The sequence below is a fragment of the Homo sapiens genome, chromosome 13 (assembly GCF_000001405.40).
Source record: "Homo sapiens chromosome 13, GRCh38.p14 Primary Assembly".
NCBI lineage: Eukaryota > Metazoa > Chordata > Mammalia > Primates > Hominidae > Homo > Homo sapiens.
Window position 1 is genome coordinate 20,818,296 of NC_000013.11, and position 20,647 is coordinate 20,838,942.

Sequence of the window (20,647 nt, forward strand, 5' to 3'; positions counted from 1 at the left end):
GCAAGTCAGAGTACTCATAAATATGTCTCTTCACTCACATGCTAAAGCCACCCAGCAAGGTGGCTTTATGACATGGGTTTCAAAAACACACACTGGTATCAAGAATGCTTCTTCCTATGAAGATGCTCTTCTTCCCTTGCTACACAACGTTACCACCATCAAAGACATGAATTGCTATTAAAAAAGATGATAATCTGTATATATTCCTAAACAAACACAGCTCTGAAAAAAGTATTCTCACAGTAAAACAAAGTCTTACATGTGGAACCTGTTTTCCTACTGGAAAAAGAAGCTTTCAATATTTCACAAAATTACAATTATAAAAATCATTTAAAAAATAATTTTAAAAAATTAGAATTATAATTAGTTTGCACCAAACAAAACTCAACAGTTGTTCTTATGTGGTAAGAGTGCACACAGGTTTTCAATAAAAGCTATTATTTTAAAGGCTCATTTTAAAAAATTATTCTACATGTTATTGCTTGTAATAAATTATTGTACACTATACACGTCCCCCTCCCCCTCCCCTTTGTTTTTTTGTTGAGATGGAGTTTCGTTCTTGTCACCCAGGCTGGAGTGCAGTGGTGTGATCTTGGGTCACTGCAACCTCCGCCTCTCGGGTTCAAGAGATCCTCCTGCTTCAGCCTCCCAAGTAGCTGGGATTACAGGCGCCCGCCACCATGCCCGGCTAATTTTTTATATTTTTAAGTAGAGAAGGGGTTTTGCCATGTTTGGCAGGCTGGTCTCGAACTCCTGACCTCAGGCAATCCGCCTGCCTCAGTCTCCCAAAGTACTGGGATTACAGGCGTGAGCCACTGAGCCCGGCCTATACAGGTACTTTTCATGCAGTTAATCCACGTCATAAAGCAGTAGAAGGAATTCATACCCTGACTTTACCAATAAGCTAACATGCTCCAAAAAAAAGTGAAGCAGCTTGCTTGAACTCTTGCTCTTCATGACTGCCTGGCCTGTAACTGTGCAGTCTCCCTCAAAAGTTCATCATCTTTTCATCCCATGTTAACTCCCAAACTCATATCTTTAATATGCCTCAATTTTTCAAATTTTACTTAAAAGATCATGTCTTGGCCAGGCGCGGTGGCTCACACCTGTAATCCTAGCACTTTGGGAGGCTGGGGTGGGTGGACTGCGAGGTCAGGAGTTTGAGACCAGCCTGGCCAACATGGTGAAACCCCGTCTCTACTAAAAATACAAAAATTAGCCGGGCGTGATGGCGCATGCCTGTAATCCCAGCTACTCGGGAGGCTGATGCAGAAGAATCGCTTGAACCTGTGAGGCAGAGGTTGCAGTGAGCCAAGACCGTGCCATCGCAGTCCAGCCTGGGCGACAGAGCGAGACTCCATCTCAAAAAAAAAAAGATCATGTCTTTATATACTTTTCCATCTCAGGACAACTACGTATTATGTACTATTACTACAATTACTGGGTGCCCAAGAAAACAAAAGATGAAATGGTTTCTGTCCCAGAGGTCCAATTTGGTTTGGCTGGATTTGTTCCTATATTTCTGGTATTAGCTGTATACTCCCCTGGTCCTCTACTCCCAGCATACAGAAGATACAACGGAAACCGCTTGAGGTTGAGATGACATTTAGGAGGTTTACTCTTAAGAAAGTCACCATGCCTGGGCCACCCCATTAGCCCTCAACTTCACCACACATCCCCAACCTGGTTTCTACGACTAATGCAAAACTTTAAACAGATCTTTTCCCTCTGTCCTTTTCAATAGGTGACCAATTATTTTAAAAAATAATTTTTAAATATCATAAACAGCTCAATTAAAAATTAATTAAAAGAGTAAAATAAATGAAAAGAAATAATACTTTTCTTGAATGAAACCTGTTAGGTTCATCTTCACTAGAGCACGCCTGCTGTGAAATAAGCACAACACACATCTGCTTCTCTGCAAATGCATGCAGGCTTTCTATATTCCAACACTCCTATGTCAAATCTTGAAGGAAAAATTGTCAAGATGTCAGTGTCCTCAAATAAATTCTGCACTTAAAATTTGCAAACCAAGGATGCCATATATCTTCCAGCAATTCTTTAAAACGTTTAGGAACACGCTTAACTCACAAACAGAACTAAAAGGAGCTTAGTTTCTAAATATAGGATCAACATGCTCTTTAATCCACCTGGTTTAGAAGAGAAAATAAACCAAGGTGGAGAGGGAAAGTGCAAGGAATTCATGTTAAATAAAACCTGACTAGTTCAGAATCTGTGATCATTTGAAAGAGGTTTGAGTAAACTGTAAATACTTAAAATGTTAAATACTTAAAATTACCCTGGATTTTTATGTTTAGAATGTAAAGTATCCCTCTGAAACATTCAACTGTACATATCATGCCTTTAAACTTCTATTTTTCTGTTACTACATTTTCTCTACCGTATAAACACTTGTCTGACCTGGTTCCTTTCCTCATCAAATCATGAAAGTGCCCGATTACATAAACATAATCATTCTCGAGTTCTCTATTCTCTGAACACCTCTGAAGGGATACGAAAAAACTCACATACACGTTGGCAGAATCTAACCAACACAACTTACAATTTAACATGAAATTCTAACAAAATATCTACATTCTTTTTCCTCTTACAGCCTTTCAGAAAGATTCACATTTTGACTCATAAAAAGAAAAATTAGTTTCAACAATTTAATCACTACTTTGTGGAATGAAATCAATTTTTTTCCATGATTAATACAGCTATTCAGAGTAACTGTTACAAAAGCAGCTGTGTCCTCAAGGGGTTTTAGTAGACGTCTAAATTTAAATATAAAATATGGAAAATACACATTTGGAAATTTGTACCAAAAAACATCTTCAGTATTGTTATTGGTCTTAATTTCAATGTAAATTAAATTCTACCAGGATACACTATTAAAGCATTATCATCCAAAAAATTAGAGAGCACAGTCTAACCAAAATAAGCAAGGTTTCAATGATTTGAACCAAATTATGTTTACATAATTGCCAAATAAGTCCAACGTAAAAAATTCTCAAAAAAAAAAAAAATTACACGTAATTACACCACACCACAGCAACACCCTGTAAACAATGTTTTTGCTGTTAGAAAGAGCCTTCGACATAATTTTTACATGAAAAATTGTGTTGAACAAACCACAGCTCATTTCATTCCATCTCTTATATTTGGGTACTAAATTATCTCAAAATTAAATGCTTAAGACCAGTAAATATCACCAACTAAAGCTATTTTAATCCACAAATTTTTAAAGGTCATGTTTCCCAAATAATTTGCACATCTAAACAAAACAGTCACTTTAACAATAGCCAGCACTCACTTAAAATAATTACTTGTCATGAGAAATGTTCCAAAGGCACCGCAAATTTCCTTGTGAAAACTGACACAATTTACTTTAGAATAGTCACTCACCACTTCTTCCAATGCAGCACTTCGCCCAAAAGAACAAGTGAGGTGTGTGAGGCAGTTAACAAAGGAGGAGAAAAGTTCACTTGGAATGGCAGTTAAAACATTTCGTGGGAACACGGTTATCAGGTTGCTGATAATGCTGGAGATCCCCACAGCTTCAGAATCTTCTATTTCAATTCTAAAACCAAGGAATGAGTATTATTAAGTGGCAGTAAAAGAAAAATTATTAATATAATAACTCATTTCCAAACAAGCAAATATCGTTACTGATTCATTTTAAAAGGTATGTCTCTGTTTATTAATTTCAAATTACCCATATGACTTTACTTCAAAATATAAGGGGGAAAAAATAACTAGTTTCTTTTTTTCTTCTACTGTTAAACACAAAACGTAGAGCTCCTTTTTCAGCTGCAAAGGGCAAGTATACCTACCCATTGATAGTATTCAGTAATCCCTCAATGAAGTGTGCTAGATAATCAACTTGTGATCCTTCATCTGGGAAGATGGGTCCATGAAGAGAAGCTAACTGGGCAAGGCACTGCAGAGAATCTTGTGCCATATCTGAATCTTCTCTGATTTTTCGATGTACCTGTTAGAAAGAATTACTAATCCATAAATATAAATTCTTCCTTTGTAAGGGTCACGTGTCTACCATGCCGAATGAGGTAAGACAAAAATTCACTGTAGCTGGTTATTTCTAGAAAATTAATTCCTGAATTAAACTAAATTGAAAATTGTCCCTCAGTCCACTTTACATTACAGGTCATTATTTTAAACATATCAATTGATTTTTAACTGAGGGCTACCTACATTTTGAAAATTGATCTGTCTCCAGCATGTTATGACAAAGAGAGAAACAGATGCCAGCCAGTCAGACATACTGCTTCTTCTAAAAACAGCAACAATGACAGTCATCTGTATTATGCTAACTATGCCTAGCTACAGCTTCTTGCTAAACTTAGCAGACAAGTTCAATAAAGAGTATATAGATGCTGCTTTAGTGGAAGTAAACAGTTGTGCACTTAGAAAAGCAATATACCATTGAATCCCTAGACATTCATGCATTCATTCAACCAAAATATAATGAGCACGTTCTTTTATTAATTCTCAGTTTGCTTACAATTTGTTTGAATCTCAGTTTAACCTACATCATTGCTATTAATAAATGCTAAAAGATTTTGAATACCAAATGTAAATTATACTTAAATCCATTTAAAGCTAACCTATATTTTACTTCAGTGATACAATACGGACATGAAACACCTGGTAGAGTGTTTTGTATGAAGGGAATGCTCTTGAAATACTGCTCCCTAGTTTTATAGTATTAATATTCTCAGATGTTAAAGGTTTCATTTCTGTAATCTGACATATTAGAGCCAAGGAAAATTTAGTGAAGGAATATGATCATTATTAATCTTAATCCATCCAACACTTACTGTTGGATGTACCATTTTGTACTTGCCGAAGTACTTAACTAGCCCTTTTCTTTCCCACACAAAGTTCTCTCTCTATTTTGTAAATGTTGTGTAACATCAAACTCATAGTTTTAGGCTATATTCACTTTGACTAGGCAAATTGTTTCTAAATTACTTCAGGTCAGAACATTTAAGTACTCACTGGTATGCTGGGCCACAATGAACACTTAATAAATCCTTGTTCACTGAGTCCCTTAATCCTTAATCTCTGAACTTCTCAAGGTTCTAGTAATGAAATTTAAAACACTAAGTAATCTCTAAACATTACAAAGTTAGTTGATTTACTGACATGCTTAAAATATGCTATACTCTTTGGACTAGAACAAACCACAGCCCATAAGCCAAATTTGGCCCCCGCCTGTTTTTGTATGGCTGTGAGCTAAGAATGGTTGTGTTTTTTTCTTTTTTCCATTTTTGTATGGTTGGGGGGAAACCAATAAAAATAATATTTTGTGACCTGTGGAAATTACACAGAATTCTTTTTTTTTCCCCCGAAACAGAGTTTCACTCTTGTTGCCCAGGCTGGAGTGCAATGGTGCAATCTCAGCTCATAGCAACCTCCGCCTCCCGGGTTCAAGCAATTCTCCTGCCTCAGTCTCCTGAGTAGCTGGGATTACAGGCACGTGCCACGGCGCCTGGCTAATTTTTGTATTTTTAGTAGAGACGGGGTTTCGCCATGTTGGCCAGGCTGGTCTCAAACTCCTGACCTCAGGTGATCCACCGGCCTTGGCCTCCCAAAGTGCTGGGATTACAGGCATGAGCCACCACGCCCGGCCAACATTCACATTTTAATGACCATCAATAAGCTTTACTGGAACACCGCCGTGCTTATTTATGTATCATCTATGGCTGCTTCTGTACTACAATGGCAGTGTTGAATATGAACATATGACCTGCAAAGCCTAAAGTGTTTACTATCTGGCCCTATACAAAAAATGTCTGCAAATCCTTGGTCTAAAATACAAATATTTTTCAAACTATATTCCAATGTATTTTAAGTTTTATATAGTAAATTCCAAGTACAATAGACAAATTCATATATGCACACTGTCTAGTTCATAAACTTCTGAACACAACTCACTCTTATAAGTTCTTTATCCGAAATCTGTAATTAAATTTTTGTCACGATGCCTTAGAATCTAATCAGCATTTAAGCATGATATCCAGGGATATATTCTGTCAACAGATAGAATGTAATCTGGGACAATAAGAATACATCTCACAATCTTGAATGTTCATTATGGTCTCGAAGCGAGCAATCAGAAGAAAGAATACCCTCAATGAAATAGCTAATGAAATAACTAAAAATAAAGTTAAAATAAATAAATAACTGTCTTTCGAGACGGTGTGTGCTGTTCAAGCTTAATTTATGTTACCTGAAATATAAACCACATAAAACTAATAATAAATGCTTAATTTTTATACAATATAAATTCTTGCCTTTCTTCCAATGTCATCATTACAAAAGAGTTCCTCCATATCTGAACATGTATTTCAATATAAACTGTATCATAAAACGGAAAGCTGAATCACCACCTGAATATGGAAAAGGGACAGAGGGATAAGGGAAAGCAAAGCCCAGCAGGACGCCCAGTGAGATGAATGGCAAGGATATGCATCAAGAAAAGGAAGACAAGGAAGGAGAAGCAAGTAAGGAAGATGACGAATTCTACTGGAACATGTTAAATCTGAGATGTCTGTTGGCCATCCAAATTAAAACATCCAGTAAGCACTGGGATTATAAGGCTCTGAAACTCTGGAGCAGGCTGTGCTGAATATAGATGTAGGAGTCATCTGGGAACCGGTGCCTGAAGTCCTACGTGTCAAAGAGAGAGCCACAGGAAAGTGTACAGAGTCAGCAAAGTTGAGAACTAAGATAGGAATGCCAATATTTATGTGATGAGCAAAGAAGGAAGAGACCATAAGCGAGATCAAGAAGACTCTGGTCAAAAAGGTAGGAAGAAAACACAATGAAAGTGGGTTTTTTTTCCAAGACCTTATAGAAGGAAAAAAAATCAAGAAGTTTGTAAACTTCTATAGGGCAGAATGCAACCCAAAGTATTCCAACATATTTAAAGTCTTATGATTAACATATTTAAAGTCTTGCTCTTATGCAACAGTATACTGATGCTTATCCAAATCTAGCACAAGTGATATCCAGTGGAAAAGTGCTTTAAAGTAGGCAATAAATTCATATAACTAAAACTAAATTTAACCAAAGTTAAATAAAAAGATTAGCCATTGTCATTTTTAAAACAAGTAACAAACTTGTTCATAAACTGCTTAAGTGAAAATAGCTACAAACACAAAAATTGTTCAAATAAAGCAAAAAAGGGTTAACTTTCAAATTCAAGTTATTTGCGTGTGGTTGTTCACAGCTGACAGGAGCAGCTGTCTGGTTTGTCTAGACAGCTGTTCAGATCTGGTAGAGTTGTTTCCAGTACTGCCAGCAAGTTTTTCACCTTTTCAAAAACTGCTGGAGTGGAATCTACTTTCAGTCAAGTGCATAATACAAAGACTTGGACTTGGATTCGTATCAAAACAATTCCTGTCAGATGAGGCAGGCAACGGAATTTTAAAATTTAGTTACAATTATCTCTTTGATCTTGATAGTGGTTTTAGCCATCATTTCTCTGATTTTAAAAAGAAACCACAAGGTGATTTAATGCTCAGTCTGAATATTTCTATAGAAAATATCCTTTATATATACCCATGGATAGATAACCTTGTTCTAGATATTTTAAAATACATACCACATAACTACTTTATTTTAAATGGTTCAATCAGAAAAAGGCAGTTGAAGGGCTCATCTATATTTTTACAACAAATGAAAAGAAACTAAAATTAACAATTGGGATTAAGCAAAATAGCTTTTTTACTTTTAATTGATTTTTACTTGGGCTTCTGTCCACGTCATTATATCTAATTAACTTGTATATTCCCCCTATAACTGCAAATTAGCATCCAACACATAAACACACACATATGAATTGTTTTTCCAGCTTTTGACCGTTTTATTGGGGATACACACTGGCCAATGTGGGAACATACTGCTTACATCTTGATATTTAGCCAATAATAAAGAGGACTGTCTAAAGTTATACATGAGATAAACTGCTATTCCATAATACCAACTTAACCAATGACTCATAAATATAATAAGTATAAAACCTACACTCTAGAATAGCAGTTCTCAAACTATGGCCCAGGGATCCCTGAAGCTTTTTAAAAGCCTGTCAGGTTGCCTGTGAGGAAAAAAACTATTTGCATAATAATATGAAGACAGTATCTGCGTTTCCCATTCTCACTGTCACACAGGTAAAAAGTGGAATTTCCCCGAGGCCACACGATGTGCGATACTGCAACTAACTGAAGGCAGAAGCAGGTAAGATAATCTGACTGTCTTCTATTAAGTCTGATATTATAGATTTACAAAAATGCAAAACAATGCTATTCTTCTCATTAAACTTGCTTCGTTTTCAAAAATATAGTTAATTAAAATGTTACTTATGTTAATATGTAATCGTTTCTTACTGTTACTTTTTAGCACATTATTTTGTAAAGTTTTGTTTGAATTTTTAACAGGACAAATATAACCTATATAAAGAAAAGCTCTTTGGAGTTCTCAATAAATTTTTAAGAGTATAGAGGGGTCCTGAAATTAAAAGTTTGAGAACTTCTGCTGCAGGATATTAAGCCCTTCATAACCATGTGACATTTTTATAAATTAGCAAGAACCTTTTAAAATAATTTCTGTTTAAGCAGCCATACTGATGAGAAGACAAGACTTTAGGGGAGAAAAGCAATCTGTTCTGTTTTACTTAAGAAACTCGCCAAGGCATTTCCTCTTTTCTATGGCTCTTGCTACCAGAGATGAAGACTAAAACTTACTGTGAAGAAAAGCTCCATAACTCTGCTGTCCAGAAGAGTCTCCCGCCAGGACTCTGTTGGCTTCAACAGCACATTTTGCGAGGATTCAAACATAGCTATATAATGTCTGCCCAGTTATTTGGTGTCAAGGTCAACAACAATAACATTCTTACTTTGTCTAAAGTATAAGTATATCCTAAATATAACAGGAGCCATCTAGAAAGAATTTGTAATGGTAACAGTTTAAGCCTCTTCACATATGCTACATAATTCATCCATGAAGCTAAGGAATAGAAGGCATTAAGTGCCTGGGGAAAAAAAGAATGTTACAGGAATGTAAGGTAATGCTTTCATTGTAATTATGTGTCATGCTGTAGGCATACAGAAACTTTGAGAACCAGAGAATTTAATGGTGGCAACAGAAGGAAATACACTTACTGCAAAGCATATGCCAAAATTCATGTAAAAAGAATCAATTTCTGCAAGTTTATCCCATCATTTCCCCCAATATCTTGCAACAATTAACACCACATATACAAAATGTGAGTTTCATATAGTCTACTTGGAAAAATAGCATTTTTCCAGAAGAAATATATTCACTGGAAAAGCAAAAGAACAAAAAGAGTAAACACATATAATATTAAAGAAAAAAAACTCCCACAGGTCACAGTATCTAAATATCAAGACAAAGAAATAATCTATTGACAAAAAACTTTATAGATGCTTATTTAAAATTCCCACAGACTAAAAAGCAATTTATATGGTGTTCAGGCATTCAATTTCAAACATGCTTCAAACAGAATACTGTTTTACCATAAACAAAGTAACCATCATATATTTGTAGGTTTTTATGAATACGATTCATTGATACTGCCACAGTAACTGAGGCTTTGAAGAAATGAGAAAACTCGGCCAGTCACGGTGGCTCACGCCTGTAATCTCCACATTTTGGGAGGCCAAGGCAGGCGGATCACCTGAGGTCAGGAGTTCGAGACCAGCCTGGCCAACATGGTGAAACCCATCTCTACTAAAAATACAAAAATTAGCTGGGCATGGTGGCAGGCACCTGTAATCCCAGCTATTTGGGAGGCTGAGGCGGGAGAGTCGCTTGAAAACACTCTCCCGCAGAGGTTGCAGTGAGCCGAGATCACACCATTGCACTCCAGCCTGGGTGGCAGGGAGAGGCTCTGTCTCAAAACAAACAAACAAACAAAAAACAGTGGTTATGCCCCTTCCATTGGTAATCAATTGCCCAGCTAAAATACTTCGACTATGCAACATTCACATCACTCAATGAGAAATCTTAATGATAATCACCCAGAGCTATCGTCTGAAAAAAGTAGATAGAAATTCAAATACTATATTTTGAGTAAAGTCTAAATCGTTATTTTTACAGAAAAATTATTATTCACAGGGAAAATTAAAGGCTGTAATAATGCTCTGGAAACTTTTTTTTAAGATAATTGCTTAACCCCTTTTAAAATAGCTAATATTATTCTGTCTCTGAAGAGCAAGGAGGGGCACTATGAGTTGTTTCAAGGAGAAAAATCACTGCTTGTTTCTGAAAAGTCACCCCCAAAATCTTCTGCAACTCTATTCGACTGATTAACAAAAGTGAAACTCAAATCTGGTTCATTTAAACTTCCCTTCTCTCTTCCTTTATCTGCCCCCTTGTGGAGGTACAGGGAAAGAGGTGAAGGCCAAAAAAGCCAAAAGAAAGAAGCCCGAATTTAAAAAGGGGGAAAAAATCAGCCCGTGAACCCTAAGAGCTAACAATATAGAGTGAGTTCATTTTCTTAAGAGGCACCGATCATGGTCTAAGGTCAATGTTGTGTTCTTCACCCAATACTACAATATACTGATTTATCTGACACCTAGGATTTGCTTCAAAATATTCTGGGGATGGCAGAGCACAGATGAAACAAGACTGGCTGTTTAAAGCTGGGTATTCTCTCCACTATTGTGTATCTTTGAAATTTTCCACAATAACGGGATGCCAAAGGCTATAGTATATGAAATAAATGTTCTGAGTAAGGCAATCAATTCTTTGTGTTTTGTGTGTGTGTGTACTTTTTGTTTGTTTGTTTGTTTTTAATGAGACAGGGTCTCACTATGTTGCCCAGGGAAGTCTTGAACTCCTGAGCTCAAGTGATCCTCCTGGCTCAGCCTCCCAAAGTGCAAGGATTATAGGCATGAGCCAGCACACCTGGCCAATTCTTCATACTTCATAAAAATTTAAATGTATTTCACTTACTGTTTTCCAGTTTTATTTCTCTTTATTTTCAATATGCCAAATCTAACAAATGAAATATAACTAGGAAAATAATGATTTTGTAATATTTCGTATGCTTATAAAAGGTGTCATGATTTTATTTTTAAATTATATAGGATATGAGACAAATAAATGGGTTCACATAACCATAATAAAATGGTTGGCCCCAAAGCTGACCATTTACCATTTTAGTAGCTAGCAGATGTGTGATCCCTCAGAGTAAGAAGGCAAATACTTCAGGTGCTATAACTGCAAGAGAATGAAAGCCCAAACCTCCCTTCAAGAGCTGCAGACAGTTCAAGTACAGAGGAAGAATACAGGTGGCAGAAGCAAAGGGAATCATATTTATAAATTTTGCTACTTCTGGATATATGAAAAACTCTATTCCAAGGAAATGAGGAGAGTCTCTCACATTCTAATTATGCCCTCCAGGTATAATACAGCAAGGGGGGCAACAGTGTGTTTTGGTAAGAGGGAGATGATAAGCTAAAGATTCAATAAATCTTACAAAAGTATCAGTAAGAAAATACAGGAAGAAATCTTACAAAAGGAAACTATTAAACCTAAACCAAAATTCTCATATAATTCTCTCCTCTATCTTTTTATAAATTATAAAAAGCATATACTCTATTAATACTTCTGGATATCAATTATTTACATTAAGGGAAAATGGATATGAGTTTTATTTAAAAAGGGTTTTTCCCAGATATAAAATGGAATTCATTGCAATGGCTCATGTAACATCAGATTCAAAATAACCCTGAAATCTGATTTTTTAAAATCTTGGTTTAGCCTCTCCTAATCATGGTCTGTTTTTCAGCACACTGTCCCTGATGCCCAATTCCATGGCCAATTTCCTTCAAGTGTTGGTAACCAGAATAGTTTTAAGATTATAATTCCTTACACGTGGCCACGAGCATGGGAGATTTATGAGTTAGTATGTAATATCTATCAGAAAATACCTTTCCCCATAATTATTACAAAACTCCATGTTACTTTTGTTTTCCAATTCCAAACCTGGAAAGGATTTTTATCTCTGGCATGATGTTTGCCTTCTAACAAGAATGCACACTTGTAATGCTCCATGCAAAGAGGCTACACTTACCTTCCACTGAAAAACTAATCTACAACACTGCAGACTTCACTACCTTCTATCAGCCAGCCTGGTTATACCACTAATAATACCACTATTATATACCATAATAAAAATGCACATGTACTATATTATACTTTTCATAGGACACAATTACAATCCTGTAACTACAAATCATATCCCACTCTACTAAAAAAAATTAATTATTCCCAAAAGCATTTAAATAAAAAACATGAAACAAAAAGAACAGTATAATAAACGTTTATATGGAACAGCATCATAATGTTTATACAGAACAAATGTTTAAAGACAATGTTATTTTGACAAGAAATATGTTTTAGTTATCAGACTGTACCATGAAACTGCTGAAGTTGCTGCCCCGAATAACAGACTATGCTGGCTTTTATATGGGAGAAAGGCTTACTATGCATTGTATAATGTTTAATATTACCTAAAATATTGTTATTATTCACGTACATGCATTACTTTTCAATTTGAAAAACAAAACTAGTGAAGAGCATATCACAATGTGGGCAGAATAATGATACACAAATCTGGACCATATCTTTACATTCAAAATAATATAAAGAATTAAGGTAATTCATTTTTAATCAGGTATTCTCAAATGACTATTTCTATCTGTATGTATAAGAAATAAAAAAAACCATTTCAACCCCAGATAATTCTTAATAATTCTTATAAGAAATCAAAAAAAATACCATTTCTACCCCAGATAATTCTTAAATTCTTAACTTAAAAAACAAACAGAACCAGTACCACCAGAATTCAGAAATCTAGCACTACTATTCTTAAAGCAATATTTTAAAAATAATTTCAAGGTTAAATAAAGCAAGATGTTCATTTAAAAATAATTTTAATAAAACAATAGTTTCCTTTTAAAACTTTCAAAAGTTTGGTTTATAGTCACCACTTTAGCATTTTATAATATCTGCACATTACATTGTTTTATCTTTTACAACAAATATGTCACCACGAAAGAACAGTTTGACAATGAACTGATTATTTACTAAACTGTCTTTTATTACATGCTAGTCAAATTTTATGAGACACACAAGTCACAAAAGATTGGAACTAAATAGCTATTACTTCACCGAAGTTCAAATAAGAGTGTAATTCAAGAATTTTCTTGGGCTATGGCTTTATATATTTTTCTAAAATAAATACTGAATGCATGCAATTTATATTTTTATCAGAATAATTCATTTGTAACCAAACAAAACACAATTCCATCAATAAGAAAGCCAAACAGAGCTGCTTTCAGTCTTTTGCTAACCCTTTATCTTAAAAAAAATCTATCATACACATCTAATCTTACTTTACCTTCCCATCCATGTTCTCACCAAATTAAAGAATCAGGACATTTAGTACAGTGATTTTTTTTTTTTTTTTTTTTTTTTGGTCTCTGTACCAAATACAAGTCCACTCCCTCTTAGCAAGGGTTCCGGCAAGGGATCCAATTCTGAAGTGCTAAAACCCAACCAATCTTCTAAGCTCATTGCCATCATAATCCCTTGGAAAATCAGTTCCAGCTACATGTAAATTCAACTGCACCACAGAAGAGTGAAGAATCAACTCTCCATTCCCTGCCCCCTCTCCCACAACAATCCTATCTAGCTCTAAAATTCTCCACTTAGGAAAGCTCACCAACTTCTGTGAAATCAAAGGCATATATAAACATGCCACCTGCCCTATTCTGTAACTGCATGGCCAGAGACAAACATATACCAGGCCAAGAGCCAGAAGGACAGCTTAATCGCACCCTGTACTGACTGTCACTGGATAATCCTACTAAATCTTCTGTCTCAAGTTCTCATACAACAAACAGCATTGTCATTAAATACGTACATCTTAACATGTAGTGGGGAAAACATCATCTCTGGAAATACACAGGTCCGTAATTATGCAATTAAGTTTATCCACTAACACTTTCAGTAAGGGTATCGTTTTGTGATTGTGAATGACACTCAAAAAAATAATTAAATAAGGCATACAGTAGCTACACATTATCTTCAAGCAAATATGGACAATCTGAAAATTTCCTTTGCCTATTCTTATAATTACTTTACAATATAGAAAGATCTTGTAGCAACAATGGGCATTTCACATAAGTAATAAATGCTTTACTCCCTTCATCTTTCCATACTATTTTTTACCCTACTTCATCAGTAAAACAAAGTTTCAGGAGCTACAGCAAGACCATTTTCTTTCTTAAATATTTAATCCCTTTCATTATTAAATTTTCTAACAACAAAAACTGCTACTTCTCCTGGCACAGCACAGAACCAACAACCCCAGTCTTATAGACAACACAGTCCAAGCAACCACAAATCCTTTGAAATACATGAGTGACCTTACCTGAATGTTTTCCCAAGCCTTGCCTCCAAATAGTAAAGGTTGGCTTTACTGGAAATCCAATTTAGGTGAAAGCTTCTGTATCCCATTACTTACTCTATAATCCAGTTAGCTTTCTCCAAGAGATTAAGTTAAAAAAAAAAAGTTTACCAAAACCAAATCAGATCCACAAAAATAGAATACCAATAAAAGGCAGTGTAACCAAACTAAAAAAAGAAGTATCACTGAAGCCAACATACCACACATACCTGCCAAACATTCTTGTTACAAAATGATATTGTCATTTATGATTAGCATTGCCAAAACCCTTAAGCATTTATGAACACCAGGTGAACTACTAGCCGAACTATATTTATAGTGAACAAACATCCGAAAACTGAGCTAATACTTCTGAACGGGCTTCTTTCAATAATTAAATAATAAATATATAATAATAAATATTTGCTGAGCATCTGTGCTAGGGCTCAACAATGCAGTGAGCAAAAGCATGGCCCATGCTTTCACGGAGCTTCGCGCAGTAGGTAAACAGACACTACTGTTGTCCCTCAATATCCGGAGGGGGACTGGTTCCAGGACCTCCCATGGTTACCAAAATCCACAGATGCTCTGATATAAATCCAGAGTCTCTGATATAAAATGGCATCATATTTGCATGTAACTTATAAACATCCCATATACTTTAAATCACCTCTAGATTAATTATAATACCCAATACCATGTAAGTGCTATGTACATTGTTGCACTGTTTTTAAAATTTGTATTTTTTTAATTGTTGTATTGTTATTTTTTAGTTATAATATTTTTGATCCTCAGTTGAATCCAAGGATGTGGAACCCACAAACCTGGAGGGCTAACCGTACTTAAATAATCTAAGGAATGAAAAATTACAGCTGAGAAGGGAGCCAAATGGGGAAAAAATCATATACAACATGCATAGGGAGAAAATAGCAAAAGAAAGCCAACCTGGTCTAGGCTGAAGTACAATTAGGTGATCAGGCAAAGAGAGAGGACCCAGGCAGAGAAGCAGTGTGTGCAAGGAACAAGGTAGAAGGAAAGCTGGCCTGTGAGTGCAGCTCTACCAGAAGAGCTATGAGAGGGAGGTGGTGATGAGACCGCCCCGGACCCCAGCGCCCACTATCAAATGGGGATGATGGTATGATGGAGGATCACAGGACCAGGACACTTTCTTTGCACAACAGTGATCTAAAACAGAATGAGAAGCAAGTGAATTTTGTCTCCAGAGTCTCAGAGTAACATGGGGCTACAAAGTGCAGAGGAATTCGCTCTCTGGGCCACAGAGTGATTTTTAACATCTACCAAATCACAGAAACTGTGGACTTTGCACCACTGGGTCTGGGTAGGTGGATACTTTCATAAATCACCTGCTGCACATAGAAAAGCTACATATAATAATCCTTAACAAATATAATGGTTTGCAGATAATACAATTATGTATATAATTCATTAGCATTAATAAGCAAGTTCAGCAAGATTACAGGATACAAGATCAACATACAAAAATCATTTGTATTTTTCTCTATATAGTGTGAAAATGAAATTTAAAAAACAATTTACAATTGAATAATAAAAAAATACTCACAAGCCTGGACAACACAGCGAAACTCAACCCCTACAAAAATCAGCCAGGCATCATGATGCGTGCCTATAGTCCCAGTTACTCAAGAGGCTGAAGTTGAGAGGATAGCTTGAGCCCAAGAAGTCGAGGCTGCCAAGAGCCATGATTACACCCCTGCACTCCAGCCTGGGCAACAGGGCGAGACCCAGTCTCAAAAAAAAAATGTACTTAGAATAAATTTAATAATCTTTTGCTCTGGAAACTATAAAACAGTGTTGAAAGAAATAAAAAAAAAAAACCTTTAATAAATAAATCCAGGCCAAGCCCAGTGGCTCATGCCTGTAATCCCAGCACTTTTGGATGCCAAAGCGGGAGGATCACTTGAGCCCAGGAGAGTTTGAGGACAGCCTGGGCAACATAGTGGGATCCTGCCCTACAAAAAAATTTAAAAATTAGCCAGGTGTGGTGATGTGTACCTGTGGTTCTAGCTACTTGGGAGGCTGAGGCAGGAGGACCACTTGAACTCAGAGGTCAAGGCTGCAGTGAGCCATGATCATGCCACTATACCTTAGCCTGGGTGACAGAGCAAGACCCTATCTCTATAAATAATAATTTTTAAAAATCAGAAAACTTAACTTAGTTTTTTGTTTGTTTCTGTTTTAAGAGACAAGGTCTTCCTCTGTTGCCCAGGCTGGGGTGCAGTGGTGCAATCATAGTTCAAGGTAACTTTGAACTCCTAAGCTCAAGCCATACTCCTGCCTTGGCCTCCCAAAGTGCTGAGATTCAGGTGTTAGCCACCATGTGCTGCCTCTACTTTCTTTTTAAAGGGTACAATGCCAGGTACAAATAGACAATAGTTGGAGGAAATACTGATTATTCAAAAAAAGAGAGGACAGAAGAAAATACTTCACAAGGGCTTTACATATATGTGCTTTAAAATTCCATCACTCTCCTTGCAATTCTATCAGTTTAAAAAAATAATGATAAAATAAAATTCCCTCATGCTGACTTCTACCACTGTGTTCCTCCATTTTGAAAGAAACCTAGACAAAGCTGGTCAAATCAGCACTTAATAGCTAAGAAGTATGGATCATCAAGGCAGGCAGTTCACACTACCACAGGGCTGCCTACCTCAACCACGCCCTGGGCTATCTCAACATCTATGTCATTGGCCTAACACCACAATATCACATTTTCTTTCTGAAATCCTGACTTCTCCCCTCAAGCAATAAACAGGTTCATCTAAGCTTAAAGCATAAAACAACATTTCCTTGGCACAAACCCCCATTCCCTTGAGCTGTCAGTTGATGCTCTTCGAAATATCTATATAGTTCAGTTGACCCTTGAATAACACAGGTTTGAACTGCACAGGTCCACTTGTACTTTCACTAGAAGTTACACCAAGTGTGCCTTCCTTTCCTTACCTCCCCTTCACCTCCTCCACTTCTGTCTCTACTATCACTGAGACAGCAAGACCAACCCCTCCTCTTCCTCCTCCTCCTGAGCCTACTCAACTAGAAGACGAAGATGAAGACATTTATGATTGATCCACTTATACTTAATGAACACTAAATATCATTTATCTTCCTTATAATTGTCTTAACAACATTTTCTTTTCTCTAACTTACTTTAAGAATATATTATAGTACATATAAAACATAAAATAAGTACCAACTGACCGTTTATGTTATCAGTAAGTCTTCCAGGCAACAGTAAGCTATTAGTAAAACGTTCTGGGGAGTAAAAAGTTATACTGGAATTTTTGACCGCATGGGGGTTGGTGTCTCTAACCCTCACATTGTTCAAGGGTCAATTGTACTTCACTCTATACTTCATCAATTACTAATTACTACCTGATCACTGAGATACGGCTTTTGCCCCTGTCATTCACATAAACAGACTTCCATATGACCAACTATGTTCTAACTGATATTCGGTGTAGATCAAAAACAATCTACATCTTACCTATCGGTAACAGACGATGTTGACTACCTGATTCCTTGAAACATCATCTATCTTTGCTTTCCAAACACTCCTTGCCTTGTTCTCCCATCCACTTGTCTTAATTGGCTTTCTTATTTTCTTTTGCTTCTTCCTGCTTTTTCACTACTGATGCACCTAAAGGTCCTGACATGGATCCTCTGCTCCTTCTTGGACCACCTCTCCTATTTCCTTAACTTCAATGGCCCCACTCTCCCACAACTTTATCTCCACCCCTAATCTCCCTCTATAATTCTACTAATGGTGCAGTTGACCTGTGTGAAGTGGGTTTCTACACCGTGACATGATGGGTATTTTTAAAGGCTTCATTAAGACATAATTCACACACTACGCAATTTACCCACTGAGTGTACAGCTCAATGGTTTTAGCATATTCACAGATGTGTGCAACCACGACCATGATCTAATCTGAGAACATTTCCATGGTACCAGAAAGACCCCATATGCTTTAGCAGTCACCTCCTACTTTGTTCCAATCACTCCAGTTCTAGGTAACCACTAACCTTTCTGTCTCTATAGATTTGCCCATCCTGGACATTTCATAAATATGTTATCATATAATTTGTGGTCTTTTGTGAATGGCTTTTTTCACTCAGTATGTTTTCAAAGTTTACACATGTTGTAGCATGTATCAGTAATTCATGTCTTTTTATGACAGGTAATATTCCCATTATATGGGTATACCACATTTTATTTATCCATTCATCAGCTGATGGACATTTGGGTTGTTTCTACTCATATAGTATTATGAATAGCCTATTCATATAGTACTGCTCTGAACATTCATGTACAAGTTTTTGTGTGGATGACTATTGATACTTTGGGCCCAATAATTGCTTGTGTGGGGCTGTCCCGTGCTTTGTAGGATGTTTAGGATGTTTAGCAGCATCCGTAGCCTCAACCCAATAGATGGCAGTAGCATTTCCCGAGTTGTGACAATCCAAATTGTCTCAAGACACCACCAAATGTCCCAAGTATACAAAATTGTTCCTAGTTGAGAATCAATGTTAAAGAGTTATGATTTGTTTTCTTTCTTCTCCTTTTTTTTTCTTTTTTAGAGACAGAGTCTCACTCTATCCCTCAGGCTAGAGGTAGAGTGCAATGGCGTAATCTCAGCTCACTGCCACCTCTGACCGCCGGGTTCAAGCACTTCTCCTGCCTCAGCCTCCCAAATAATTGGGTCTACAGGTGTGTGCCACCATGCCTGGCTAATTTTTTGTAAGAGATGGGGTGTATTGGTCCATTCTCAGGCTGTTGATAAACACATACCCGAGATTGAGCAATTTACAAAAGAAAGAGATTTAATTGGACTTACAGTTCCACGTGGCTGGGGACACACGGAACAATCATGGCAGAAGGCAAGGAAGAGCAAGTCCCGTCTTACATGGATGGCAGCAGGCAAAGAGAGAATGAGGAAGATGCAAAAGTGGAAACCCCTGATAAAACCATCAGATCTTGTGAGACTTATTCACTACCACGAGAACAGTATGGAGGAAACTGCCCCCATGACTTTATCTCCCACGGGGTCCCTCCCACAACACATGGGAATTATGGGAGTACAATTCAAGATGAGATTTGGGTGGGGACACAGAGTCAAACCACATCATGAGGTTTTGCCATGTTGCCCAGGCTAGTCTCAAACTCCTGAGCTCAAGCCATCCACCGGCCTTGGCCTCCCAAAGTACTGGGATTAAAAGCGTGAGCCACTGCGCCCAGCCAAGTTATGATTTCATTAATGAAACTTTGCATGAGCGTAAATCTTGACCTAAGAACACTGTAATACAAGCTATTAACTATGATAGCATTAATGCCCTTAAATATTAATATCTAAATATTTACTCTGCATTATTTTGTCAGTATCTCTCTATGCACATCCTACAGCCACTGCTCAGTCAGCTTCAGCTGGTTTTCCCAATATTTTACAGTCACAATTAATACAGTACTTTCTATAAGAAATTACATTTTGGGGCTGGGCGCAGTGGCTCACGCCTGTAATCCCAGCACTTTGGGAGGCTGAGATGGGTGGATCACGAGGTCAGGAGATCAAGACCATCCTGGCTAACAGGGTGAAACCCTGTTTCTACTAAAAATACAAAAAAATTAGCCAGGCGTGGTGGCGGGCACCTGTGGTCCCAGCTACTCAGGAGGCTGAGGCAGGAGAATGGCGTGAACCTGGGAGGTGGAGATTGTAGTGAGCCGAGATCATGCCACTGCACTCCAGCGTGGGCAACACAGCAAGACTCCATCTCAAAAAAAAAAAAAAAAAAAAGAAAGAAATTACATTTTGGTCTTGTTCTGTTGCCCAGGCTGGAGTGCAGTGGTGTGATGATAGATCACTGCAACTTCAAACTCCTGGCCTCAAGCAATCTTCCCACCTCGGCCTCCCAAAGAGAAATGAAACCCTAAGCCCACACAAAAATTATAAATGAATGCTCACAGCAGCATTGTTAATAATAATCAAAAAGTGGAAACAACCCAACTGTCCATCAACTGATAAATGGATTAAAAAAGTGGTATATCCATACAATATTATGGCAATGAAAAGGAATGAAGAACTGATGGATGCTGCATGCTACAAAATG

General features: G+C 36.9%; 1 protein-coding gene and 1 long non-coding RNA gene across 14 annotated transcripts in view; one reads left to right on the plus strand and one right to left on the minus strand.

The window, feature by feature from the left end:
• Positions 1 to 20,647, minus strand: part of XPO4 (exportin 4) — a 125,446-nt gene that overhangs the window by 40,967 nt on the left and 63,832 nt on the right. For 11 of the 13 annotated variants that reach the window (NM_001372061.1, XM_047430537.1, NM_022459.5 and 8 more), the window contains 3 exons: positions 8,772 to 8,884; positions 3,837 to 3,994; positions 3,409 to 3,583 (listed from right to left, as the gene is read on the minus strand). In NM_001372061.1, the coding sequence (NP_001358990.1) occupies positions 3,409 to 3,583; positions 3,837 to 3,994; positions 8,772 to 8,884 (446 nt within the window). Of the gene's footprint in view, positions 1 to 3,408; positions 3,584 to 3,836; positions 3,995 to 8,771; positions 8,885 to 13,456; positions 14,900 to 20,647 lie in introns of those variants that run through there. The other 2 variants (XM_005266504.5, XM_017020706.3) reach the window with 2 other exon arrangements.
• Positions 6,649 to 8,559, plus strand: LOC124903129 (uncharacterized). The gene is made up of 2 exons (XR_007063711.1): positions 6,649 to 6,834; positions 8,199 to 8,559. It is a non-coding gene; the product is annotated as an uncharacterized LOC124903129 (long non-coding RNA).